The sequence below is a fragment of the Homo sapiens genome, chromosome 6 (assembly GCF_000001405.40).
Source record: "Homo sapiens chromosome 6, GRCh38.p14 Primary Assembly".
In the NCBI taxonomy this organism is placed as follows: domain Eukaryota; kingdom Metazoa; phylum Chordata; class Mammalia; order Primates; family Hominidae; genus Homo; species Homo sapiens.
Window position 1 is genome coordinate 25738317 of NC_000006.12, and position 13850 is coordinate 25752166.

The 13850-nt window shown below is 37.2% G+C and overlaps 1 protein-coding gene across 1 annotated transcript in view; it reads right to left on the reverse strand.

Moving 5' to 3' along the window:
- The window catches only part of SLC17A1 (solute carrier family 17 member 1), a 108310-nt gene that overhangs the window by 14574 nt on the left and 79886 nt on the right, over window positions 1-13850 (reverse strand). The window lies entirely within an intron of this gene.

Genomic DNA, 13850 nt, shown 5'->3' on the forward strand with positions numbered 1-13850 from the left:
GGAAGGATAGTGTTTTCAATAGCTGATGCTAGAGCAATAGGCAAAAATATGTATGTTGACTTAAACCTTACACCTTGCCTAAAATTAACTCATATAGATCATATATTTAAATATGAAAAATGTAAAACTATAAACCTTTTAGAAAAAATATGTAGGAGAAAAGTCTTTTGAGTCTAGATGTATGCAAAAAGTTTTTAGACATGAAATCAAAACAATCCAGAAAAGAAAAAAAAAGTAAAAGCTTTTGTTCTGTGAAAGTCTCCGTGAAGAAAAAAACGACAGGCTGCAGACTTACAGAATATATTTGCAAACCATATATATGGTAAAATACTTGATCTATGTTAATATAAAGAATTCTCAAATCTCAACAATAAAAAACCAAACTATCCCAGTAAAAAATGAACAATATTCATGAAGAAACATTTCACTGCCAAGGACACACAAAGGGCAAAAAAGCACATGAGGAGATGTTTAACATTAATGCTCATTAGGAAAGTGTAAATTAAGACTAGGATGAGGTATCACTACACACTTACTGGGCAACTAAAATTTAAAAATTGACAACATCAAATGATGGCATGAATATGGGAAAACTTGATCTCCCATACATTGCTGGTAAAACTATAAAATGGTACAGATCACCTTGGGAAACATTTTGCAGTTTCTGTAAAATCAAAACATATACTTACAACATGATCTAGTACTCCCACTATGGAACATTCATCCCAGAGAAATGAAAATGTATGTGTTTTAGTCAGTTTGGGCTGCTACAACAAAAATACTATAGACCAAGTAGCTTAAACAAACAAACAAACAAAAATATTTCTCACAGTTCTGAAATCTGGGAAGTCTAAGATCCGGGTGCTGGCAGATCTGATCTCTAGTGAGGGAACTCTTCTTGGTTTGTGGATAGCCTTCTTGTATCCTCACGTGGCAGAGAGAGAAGAGAGATAGAAAGCAAGCTTTCTGGATTCGCTTCTCATAAGGGAACTAATCTCATTCATGAGGGCTCTACACTTATGACATAATTACATTCCCAAAACTCCACCTCCTAATACCATCACACTGGAAGTTAGAATTTCAACATGTGAATTGAGGGTACACAAACATATGAACTAAGGGACATAAATATTCAGTCTATAATGTTATGCTCACACAAAAATCTGTATGCATATATCCATAGCAGATTGTTTTTAATAGGTAAGCCTTAGAACAATTAAGATGTCCTTTAAATGAGTGAATGTTTAAACACACTGTGGTATATTTATACCATGAAATATTACTCAGCAACAAAAAAGAAAAGCTATTGGTATACAGAATGAGTAGAATGGACTTCTAGGAAATTATGTTGACTGAAAATAAAGCCAATATCAAAATATTACATACTATATGATTCCATTTATATAACATTTCAAAACAAAGTCATAGGGATGGAGAATAACTTAATGGTTTCCAGGGGTTTGGGATGGTGAGGCTGAGGGGATAGCATGAGGTGTGGTTATTAAGGTGTAACATTAAGGAGATCTTTGTGATGATAGAATTGTTCTGTACTTTGATTGTGATGGTTACACAAATCTACACACGTGATAAAATTATATGGAACTATTCACACATTGTACCAATGTCACATGCCTGGTTTTGAAATTGTGCTATAGTAATTAAGATAAAGCCACTGGGATAAAATTAATGAAGGATACAGGGAACCTCTGTATACTAGCCTTGCACCTTCCTGTGAACCTATAATTATTTCAAAACAAAAAGTTAAAACCAGCCCCTTTTAGCTATGAGGCAACAGTATAACTCATATCCATTAGTTACTAGGGAAAACAAAGCCAGAGCTGGAGAAATCTGGGATCAAATAACATTATAAAAATAAATTAAAATTTTATGAAGAGAAATGTAAAGTCACAGGCTGGAGCAGGAACTGACTGACATAAGGGAAGACAATGATCCTAAACCTCAGTTACTTAGAAAACTAAAATATGATCCACATTCTCCAGACAATGGAAAAAACAAACCAAACACCTGGATATTTACAAGATATAACTTCAAGCATCTACAAAGTCATTTTTTTTTAAATTGGGTTTCTCAAATATTAGAAATTATTGATTAATATAAGTTATTTGTTGTATTACAACAGTTATTAGACTGAACTTCTAATTTCATTAGGAAAAGAATAAATAACCGTAGGGGTGGTTTAAAATTACAATAAAATGTAAGTTGCAAAAAATTTAACCACCAAAGAATGGACTATATGGAATGCAAGATACTGACTTTACTGATGAGCTCCTTTCTCAGAAAAGTGAGTTTATTCTGAGATTTTTATAAAGATAATTCTGAAAATAAAATGGTTCAAAAAATGAATCTCAATTCTAACACATTAAGAAAATATATAAAATATCTGCACTTCCATATTAATTATAGCATTACTCACAATAGCCAAGAAATGGAATCAACTTAAGTGTCCATCAATGGATGACTGGAATTTAAAAATGTGCTATATATGCACAGTGCAATACTATTCAGCCTTAAAAAAGGAAATCCTGTCATTAGCAGCAACGTGGGCGAACCTGGAGGATGTTAAGTGAAATAAGACAGGCATAGAAAGAAAAATATCACATGTTCTCAGTCATATGTGGGAGCTAAAAAAGTTGATCTCATGGAGATAGAAGGTAAAATTATGGTTACCAGAGACTGTGAAAGGTGGAGGAGGTGGTAGGGAATGAAGTAAGGTTGGTTAATAGGTAGAAAATAAAAGGAATAAGTTCTACCATTTGATAGCACAGTAGGATGAGTATAGTTAATAATCACATTATATATTTTAAATTAGCTAAAAGAGAAGATTTGTAATGTTCCCAACACAAAGAAATGATAAACATTTGAGGCGATAGATATCCTAATTACCCTGATTTAATGATTACACATTGAATGCATGTATCAAAATATCACATTGTTAAAGTATACAAAATATGGCTGGGCACTGTGGCTCACACCTGTAATCCCAGCACTTTGGGAGGCTAAGGTGGGTGTATCACTTGAGGTCAGGAGTTTGAGATCAGCCTGGCCAACATGGCAAAACCCTGTCTTTACTAAGAATCCAAAAAAAAAAAAAAAAAAAAAGGGCGCAGCGGGTCACGCCGGTAATCCCAGCACTTTGGGAGGCCGAGGCGAGTGGATCACCTGAGGTCAGGAGTTTGAGACCAGCTTGGCCAACATGGTGAAACCCTGTCTGTACTGAAGATACAAAAATTAGCTGGGCGTGGTCATGGGCCGCCTATAATCCCAGCTACTCAGGAGGCTGAGACAGGAGAATCGCTTGGACCCAGGAGGCAGAGGTTGCCGTGAGCCCAGATCACTCCACTGCACTCCAGTCTGGGCGACAGAGCGAGACTCTGTCTCAAAAACAACAGCAAAAATACAAAAAGAAAAAAAAAATTAGCCGAGCATGGTTGTGCATGCCTGTAATCCCAGCTAGTCGGGTGGCTGAGGCAGAGAATCCTTTGAACTTGGGAGGCAGAGGTTGCAGTGAGTGGAGATCACACCAAGACAGAGTGAGACTCTGTCTAAAAAAAAAATGTATACAAAATATCACATTGTTGAAGTATATCCTTGGCCGACAGACAAAATGGACTCCCTGTGACAAACTGAGGGTCTCAAACTTCAAACAGAACCAGAGGGCCACAGCTGGGTGAGGGAGCATTCAAATACTCTGTGTTCTCAGAAAAATGTTGTAAAAGTATCACAAAACTTCCCTTTCTATAATCAAGCCAAACCGGTCATTGTTGGTGCCAAGGTAAAACTACAGCCAAAGCCTCTGGGCAACCACTCCCAAGGTTAAAAGAATCATCCGGCACAGAGACTTCTGGGCTTGGAAGCCAACCAATCAGTGTTCAGCTATGGTGGCCAATCAGAGTTCAGCCATATCAGGACTTGACTGTATTGACCAATCAGAACTAAGTTACATTGACTGATCAGAACTAAGTGAATTTAAATCCTTTATTTGCATAAATGGGCCTGACTGGGAACCTGGGCAGGAAACTTTTGTTATAAAACCAAAACCCAGTGGGGCATAGTGACTCATGCCTATAATCCCATCATTTAGAGAGGTCAAGGAGGGAGGATGGCTTGAGACCATGAAGACTAGCCTGGGCAACATATTGAAATGCTGTTTTACAAAAACAAACAAAAAACAATACAAAAAAAAAAAAAAACAGATGGGTGTGGTGGTATGCACCTGTAATCCTAGTTACTGGGGACTCCAAGGCTGGAAGAGAAATAGGCACACTCATACAGCTGCTGGTGGAAGTGTACAATGGTATAATATGTATGGTGGGAAATTTAGTCGGGTGTGGTGGCACACACCTGTAGTCCTACCTACTCAAGGGGCTGAGGTGGGAGAATTCCTTGAGCCCAGGAGTTCAAGGCTGCAGTTAGCTATGATCCTGCCACTGCACTGGGCAACAGAGGGAAACCCCATTTCTCAAAAAATAATAATAAAATAAAAACACAAATTAATACATTTTGTGCGGAATTTAGTAAAACCTAACAAAATAACATATGCCTTAACCATGGACCCAGGAATTCTCCTGACAATCTATCCTGAAAATACAACTCCACATATATGAAACAACAAAGATGTACAAGGTTGTACATGCAGATTATTTGTAATATAAAAAATTGGAAATAATGTTAAAGTCTATCCACAGGGGAAATGTTGAGTAATGTCTAGAACAGACTCACAGTAGAACACCTGGGAAGCCATGGAAATGAATGAGAATCATCTCCATGTGTTGGTACAGAAATCTCCATGATATATTTGAAGTTTTTATAAAAAAGGTGAAAAAACTGTGTATTGAGTACTACTTTTTTTTGTAAAAAGGAGTAACAATTTAAACCATGTTAATGATTTACAAGCTCAAGAAATAAAATTAAATCAAAAGGAAAATAAGCAAACTCTGACACTGAAAGCAAACTGAAACGAATGAAACAAATTGTATTTTGTATTGGTAACATGGTTACACAGAGAACAGATTATTTCCAATGACTTTTGAATATAGTTCTCTGATGATACATTCTTTATGAGATGCCTTCTATTTTTGCCAGAAACTTAAAAAAAACTTTCTAGGTTTTATAAACCAATTCAAAGCATAGGAAAATATAGCACCTTCTATGTAATTCTGTGAGTTAGTGTTACCATGAAATCAAAACTAGATGAAAGGAAAACAAGACAACCTGAAGCTAATCTCAATTACTAGAGTAGATGCAGAAGTCCTAAACAGAATAATATGAAATTCAATTAAGTAGTTTATTAAGAAAAACTATATTGTGAAAGTACATGATTTATGCTTGCAATGCCAGTATAGTTAAGGTCTTAATGTCATCCACATTAAACAAGGGTTACTGAGCATGCACATATGACAGATACTGCTCCTGGCCTGGGAAAATTAGGTAATGTTTCAAGGAGTTTATGTGTAATAAAATGGATAAATAAATAAACCACATGCTTTCAGAAAATCATAAATGTGAAAGAAAGCTGTGCTATAGCAGATATATGTACAAAAGTTCATGAGAATTACTGGGTTGAGCATGTGGTTCTGACTGGAGGGAGAAGAGAGTGAGAAAAGTTTCCCAAGGAGAAGAATATTTGAGTCAGATCTGGAAAAGGGTGTCACTAAGTTCCATGCAGAGAAAAGGGCAAGGTCCATTCAGGGAGATAGAAGAGAGTCATTGAAGGCACTAGGGTGTGGCCAGCCATGGCTTCTTTGAGTAATAAAGACTAATCTAATATGACTAGAGAACATGGACATACAGTGGGGAGATATGACTGGATGGCAGCTTAAGGTCAGTTGACACAAACCTTTGTGTGGCATGCTAAGGAGATTGGAACCTCTAATTTAAAAAGTAGACATCCAAGGCTTCTGAGTACAGGAGTGAAATGGTCAGATGTGTGAGTAATCAAGAAACTGGTAGCATCAGTGTGGATGGATTGCAATGGGGAAGTGGTGAAGTATGAGGAAACACACCTGTCCAGTTTGCTTGAGACAGAAAGTTGGGATTCTCTTAAGCAGTCACTTAATCTTAATCTCTATAAGCAGTCACAGAGCCAGGGTTGTGCTGGAGCTGGCTCAAATGAATGCAATCTTACTCACAAGGACCAATTATTAAAATTGCAGGAATTTTGCAAACTGGTTGTTAAACACCACCATTATTAAAAATTAAATTATATAAAATTACAGTTAAATTAAATTTAGAAAGGTGAAAATACAGTACATTTTAGTATTTACTCTCCATGCTCTTGAGGTTATTTATGTCAATACTATCTGAATTGTAGAAATGCTATTTAATGGTATGCTATTGTGCATCTCTTCCCAACTCTGCATTCAATAATGTGTGGGTAGCTGGAAATCAGCCTGGTGGACATTCTTACACCATGGAAATCAACAACCACTATAAATTAGGACTTTATTATTGATTGTCTAGACTTAAGAAAATCTTGGAGAAAATCTTAATAATGTAGATTAAACTTAAAAGTGTGACATATCTATAGCTATTACATTCTGAATAGCCCGAAATATTAAGGAAATATTATTTCAGTACCCCAAAACTATTATCCAATTCAGCAAGTAGTTGCTCATGCCATTGACATCTGAGCAAAGTTTTGACATACTTTCATTTTCCTTCATTTTTTTTTTGAAACCAGAAATAAAAGCACATAACCAACTTTTATGTCAGGACTGCACCCATTAGTTAATGTGTAAGTGACTTCTCTGATCAAACAGATAGTAATCAAGCAGTTTGCAGTCTGATTTTGTGACACTATTGTTGGCAATAAAATTCTAAAAATTGATAGAATTTTTACAAGAAATAGTAATTCCTCTGAAGTTATAGGTCTAAACTGAAAATCAAGAAAGCAGTTTAGCTTAAAATTTATTTCTCAAATTATATACAGAAATGTTAGTGGAAGTTTTTACTTTAACTTGCAAGTGGTACCATGGATTTTATTAACATATATATGTATGGATATAGGTGTGTAAATGTTTTGTGTATGTATATGTACGTATTCACTTTTCTCTTAGAGCCAGTTGTTAAAAACATACCAGCACATAACTATCTACAAACTATACATTTGAGAGAGGCCTCCAAACGAAATACGTGTATGGAGGACAATGAGAGAGAAAGGAATACTTTAACATTTACTTGGTCTTTGGTCTGAAATTCACACGTTTCCCAATGTGGGTAAGGCCAGATCATGGCAAGAACACCTTTTCCCTTCACTAAAAAACATAGAGAAAAAGTAAAACTTGCTCAGTCTTTGTGTTACAGACTTCCCTAAGTTGGAGGCCTTTTCTTAGGCTCCAGGTCTTTCTATTTCAGACTTACAGAATAACAAATCATCAAAGTAACCAAAACAGATGATCTGGCCTCTTTCTAGAAGGAACTAATCCGTTACTCACAATACTCTGATACAGTGGCTGAAAGGTCTGAGGGACCAAACCCATGTGGGCATCATCAGGGCATTTATTAGTTGTTTCTTTAGAGCTTCTCCCTTATATGAAAAATTGGTTCTACCATATTTCATCTGTAAAGTTCAGCCAACGATCCTGATAGGCTTTGTAGAAAAAGTGCCATTGCACAAGATTGCTTCAGAAGTCTTTAAAGATACACTTGGAAGTAAATTCACATATTTGACTTAAAAGACAGAGAGGATCACTCATGAGCAGATTTCGCAATCCTAACAATAAATAGTATTAGCCGTTATCAATCTAGTGAACTTAAATGTTTACTGCAGCTTCAGATAATAAATTCAACAAAAATGCATCATGTCTTATCTATATTACCTGTCTTATCAAATTAACGGTATGATTCATAAATAGCATATAAATATGGAAAGCATAGTTAATCACAGCTCTTATTTTTAAAACTTAGTTGCTCTGAAAAACCTTTAGTTTTGATGATCCTTCGGCAGCTTATTTTCAGGTGGAGCCTCATGGAGTTCCTCTTCAAAGTGCAAGGATGTCCATGATTCCAGTATAACATTTATAAAGGTAATTAACTAAATAAGTCAATACTGATAAAATATTATATTCCTGACAATAGTTGCTAAAATGCATTAAAAATGCTAGCTATGGGCTCTTTAAAGTTTAAAGCTCTTAATAAACTGGGGGTAATGGGATAAATTATAAAAATTGTTGAATGAATACATCCCAAAAGAAGGAGCAGCATCCTAAGTTCAGTAGTAAGATAGTTTTATTGCCATTAGAATCAGAAACCTCCAAAAAAAAATCAAATTCTTATCACCACCCTATGCCTTGTTGTGGAATATTAGACAAGTTATTAAGCATAGAATTTAGCCATGGTCAACTATAAGACAGTATCATACTTTTGGATGACTTAATTGTAGTCCTAGTATAATAGCTAGCTTCTAAGGTGGCACCCTATTATTCCTGCCTCCTGCTATTCCAACCTTGCGTATCCCCTTCTGACCCTGTACCAGGGTTGGCCTGTGCAACCAATGAAAAACAATATGGCAGGATTGATGGTATGCCACTTTAGAGGTTAAGTTATAATATGTAATGCAACTTCTTTTAGTCACAAAGTAGGAAACAGAGCCAAAAATCTACTGATTGATTCATCAGGGATAGACTGACAATAAAAAACAGTACTTTTGTCACAACTCTTATAAGTTCACAGTATGCTAAAAAGTATCTTTGATTGTAATAACAGGGGCCTCTCAAAGCAGTTCACCAACAATATCACCAACAGAGAAACTCATGATGTTTAAGGCTGCAGAAAGGATGCCAGTATCAAAGTGGATCTACTTTAGCACCTCCTACAGGTAGCAGAGTAATCAACCCAGTGCATTCCTGCAGCAACATTGCCATTCTTCCGGGTTAGGGCATTCAGGGTAAAGAAGCAAAGTGCAATTGTTCTGGCATTCTGACAACAACACAGCTCCTGAGAAAGAAGAATAAATATGTAGATCATGGTAGATCCATGGGGAAATCTTATTTTATGGCTTCCATTTCCACAATGTAAGAGCTAGGCTTAAATGCTGGTTGGACTAGAAACAATGAAAGGAGGCATGTAAACTTGCAGCCTTCAGCTCAACTGTCTGATTGGAGAATATGACTCTAGGATGTCAGTAAATCAGCCAACAAATAACACTACACCTCCAAAGCTGCACAAATTCTTCAAGTATATTTTAGCCAAAAATATTCTTCCAAGAAACCTACCGTTATGGACTGAATGTTTGAGTCTCCCTCAGATTCATATGTTAAAATCCTAACCACCAACGGGATGAGATTAGGAAATGATTAGATCATGAGGCTGGATTCCTCATGAATGAGATTAGTGCCTTTATAAGAAAAGACATGAGAGCATGCTTTCTCTGTTGTTCACCACTAGAGGATACAACTCTTTGGAGTTGGAGAAGACAGCTGTCCACAAATTGGGAAGTGGGCCCTCATCAGATACTGAGTCTGGCAGTATCTTGAACTTCTCAGCCTTCAGAATTGTGAGAAATACATTTCTGCTGTTTAAGCCATCCAGTCTATGGTATTCTGTTATAGCAGCCCAAATTGACTAAGATGCCTAGGATATATTGACATTTGGAAATCTATAATATGGAATTTATAATTCCAAGCCAAAAGATTCAGAAAAGTGAATTCAAAAAACTCAAAATTTGCTAGAAGGGCATATGTGTATATTTGTTACTTATTTTACATGAAAAAACACTTAGTAAAACAAGAATAACATTATTCTTAATACATGGGCCAAATATACCTTAACCTAAACCCCAATGTCTTGTTTCATGATGAAAAATCAGTACTATGTCTATGACAGTCAGGAACACAAAAGGTCTCAGATTGGTGTTACTGAACAGAGGCAAACAAAAAACCTCTCTGGAGAAACAATCTCTCAATCCATGGCAGGGTTAGCTGAGGTGAAACTCATTAAATATGAGCTCACAATCTGAAATTACACAACACACCTGAAACAATCCCATATGAGCAAGAATCAGGAGAACACAAAAAGATTGGACATCCTACTCCAGATCTTGAGATAATAAAACACCATAAGAAATTACAGAAACTAAGAAAATAGATATATAAAACACCAATAAACTATTTATAAAGACTAGAAGAAAAGGGAAAAAATGGGAGGAGTGAAGGGATGGCCTGCCCCTCCACACCTGTGGGTATATCTCGTCAGGTGGGACGAGAGACTGAGAAAAGAAATAAGACACACAGACAAAGTATAGAGAAAGAACAGTGGGCTCAGGAGACCGGCGCTCAGCATACGGAGGACCTGCACCGGCACCGGTCTCTGAGTTTCCTCAGTATTTATTGATTACTGTTTTCACTGTCTCAGCAAGAGGAATGTGGTAGGAGAGCAGGGTGATAGTGGGGAGAAGGTCAGCAAGAAAACACGTGAGCAAAGGAATCTGTGTCACAAATAAGTTCAAGGGAAGGCACTATGCCTGGATGTGCACGTAAGCCAGATTTATGCTTCTCTCCACCCAAACATCTCAGTGGAGTAAAGAATAACAAAGCAGCATTGCTGCCAACATGTCTCGCCTCCCGCCACGGGGCAGTTTTTCTCCTATCTCAGAATTGAACAAATGTACAATTGTGTTTTGTACCGAGACATTCCATTCCCAGGGGCAGGCAGGAGACAGATGCCTTCCTCTTATCTCAACTGCAAGAGGCCTTCCTCTTTTACTAATCCTCCTCAGCACAGACCCTTCACAGGTGTCAGGCTGGGGGACGGTGAGGTCTTTCTCATCCCACGAGGCCATATTTCAGACTATCACATGGGGAGAAACCTTGAACAATACCCAGCTTTCCAGGCAGAGGTCCCTGCGGCTTTCCGCAGTGCATTGTGCCCCTGGTTTATTGAGAATAGAGAATGGCGATGACTTTTACCAAGCATACTGCCTGTAAACATTTTGTTAACAAGGCACATCCTGCACAGCCCTAGATCCCTTAAACCTTGATTCCATACAACACGTTTTTGTGAGCTCAAGGTTGGGGCAAAGTTACAGATTAACAGCATCTCAGGGCAAAGCAATTGTTCAGGGTACAGGTCAAAATGGAGTTTCTTATGTCTTCCTTTTCTACATAGACACAATAACAGTCTGATCTCTTTTTCTTTTCCCTACAAGGAGACAAAACCTAAAAAAATGAAGTCATTGAAAATAAAACTCAATACAAGTGAGTTTGATATCAAATTAGACACTGCTTACTTCTTGAACTGTATACAGGTAATGGCTTAAACAAATAGATTTTTATTTTTCCCAATTTATAGGCAGTTCAGATCTGGTATACCAGTTCAATAAAGCCAGAGGGACTCAAGTTTTTTTTTTTATTTTTCTACTCGACCCCATGGTAGAATATATTATTGTTCACAGATACTTGCTGCCTTCTTCATACTTCTTGGCTGCATTAATATCCATCTGGATCATGTGACTTACTTTGATCAATTCAATTTAATTAGAAATAACATGTTTCCAGCCATAAGTTTCTCCATATATTCTCTCTTTTCTGTGCCATGAGACTGGCTGTAATGTTTCAGATGGAAGCTGCCTATAAGCCTGGTCCCAACATGAAGATGATGTGGATCACAGCTGCTGCTGGCCTGTGCTAGACATGTATCTTGAAGCAGGAAATAAAATTACATTGTATGCCACTAATTAAGGCTTCATCTCTTACCACAGCCTAACTTCTCCTTTCCTAACCAACACAGAAATTAGTGCAAGGCGTAGCATAGGGTGTTGCCATAGATTAAAAACAAAATAAAACAAAGCACCGCCTTTTTTGGGGCATTGGCTTCAGGGATGGGATAGGAGCAGAAAAGAAGCTGTTATTAGAGTTTAGAAGGGCAGTAGTACTTAATTTGCATAGGTGAAACATTTAGAAAACTTTAGAAATGAATTTATAGGTAATTTCCCTATTGAGCTTATTATTTTTGGTGAAGTTCTTGGCATAGTTAATGTAAATCATGTGATTTACTATTGACTATATTTCACAAAGTATAATAAAACAAGACATAATCTGAAAAAGTAATTAGCTGGTTTGAAAATCAGAATGAAGGAAATTGAGAGAAACTAAAAACTGTAGACTTACTGAGTTGAAAGATACTATTTCTCAACTCCCAACAGTTAAAGATAAAACTGAGAAATGATTTAAGTAAGAAAGTCCTTTTAAAGCTTGGTCTTGTGCAAGTATCAAATCAAGGTGGTAACCATTCATAAAAATAATGAAGCAAAGGTTATGGCTTTTCTATTGAAGCCTGGTAGGCTCAAAGTAACCCATGTCAGAGAGAGAGAGAGAGAGAGAGAGAGAAAGGAGGGAAGGAGAAGCACTTGTATAGGAAACTGGTTATGATTTTGAGTGACATAATACCACAGAACTACCAACCTGGATAAAGGAGACTGTGACTTATCAAGGGTTATGTCACTTGTGTGTGTGGGGGGAGGGGGGTGTCGTATTTTAAAAAAATTTTTTTTGTCAGCAATGGGCCTAGTATTCTGCCCAGTCTGCAAGGACTATTCAAATATGGTCAAAGGAGATATTGGAAAAGGAAGGACTGGCCAGAGCATGGAGCCAAGACCTGTGAAAAATAATATCCTAGGGGAATTACTCATGGCATGCACAGCCACAGATTAATTAGGGATTATCACATATGCGGAGATAGGAGGAAGACTGAAATAGCTACCCACATGATCTCAGATTTCTTTGAACTACAAACTCCTGTGCAATTCTGTCTGCAATTATCTTTTCTGTGTCCTAGCATGACACATTGGGTGTGCATGGGTGTGTAGGGGAAGCAGACACCTAGTCTCGTTAGTTCATGAGTTTCTGGAGCAAGACAAGTCATATTCAACCTGACGAGATAATATCATAAAATTGTCAACATCAGCCCTGAAGCTATAATTAAATGAGACTTTGACTTGGCTTTTCATAGGAAGGGATTAAGTATATTTTGTGTGCAGAAAGGATAGTTTACTAACTAAATAATTTTGAATTGAAGCTTGGACAGTGATAGCTTATATGACTGTTCAAAAATTTTCCCTGGCCCTGCCCTGGAAAGAATTGTATTTCTCTATTTTGGTTCTATTGGGCTTGGCCATCTGACTTGCTTTGCCCAATGAAATTTGAGTGGAAGTGACACCTAGGCAAAACCTGTAAGAGCAAGCACTTGGCTCACCATAATTTCTCTTTTACTTCTGCCATGAGACCATCCATATTCCAAATAAAGCCTGATTTGTCAAACTGGGCCCCTAAGTGAGGAAAACATGGTGAGAAGCTGTAGCCAAGACACGATGGTCATGAATTGTGAACAGCACATAAAACTTTGTTATTATAAGCAACTGAGATTTTTGGGTCATTTGTTATCCCAGTGTAACTTAGCTTATCCTGACTGATAGAGCCATCATCAGTTTATTGGCTTTCATCTTGCTGTTGTCTAATGAGCCTCAGGTACTTGCCATACCTCAAGACCTGATATCCACTGTTACGGCAGAAGGAAAAAGAAAAAAGAAAAAAAAAGATGAGACACAGGCCTACTTCTTTTTATGCATCAATGGCCAGAAATGTGTAGGCCCCATTTGTTTCAAGGAAGCCACAGAAATGAAGTTTTTGTTCCTATATGCCTTATAGTAGATACAAGCTAGGGCACAGAAATTTGGAAATGTGGTTTTGCTTAGCCAATTAATAATGCTGGCCACAGAAACTCATCTACTGCTTCTTCTCCCCACAGAGCATGTGCTGTATATTTGCTATAATACAAACACGCGACGCTTAACCATAGGAATACATTCTGAGAAATGTGCTGTGCGGCAGTTTTGT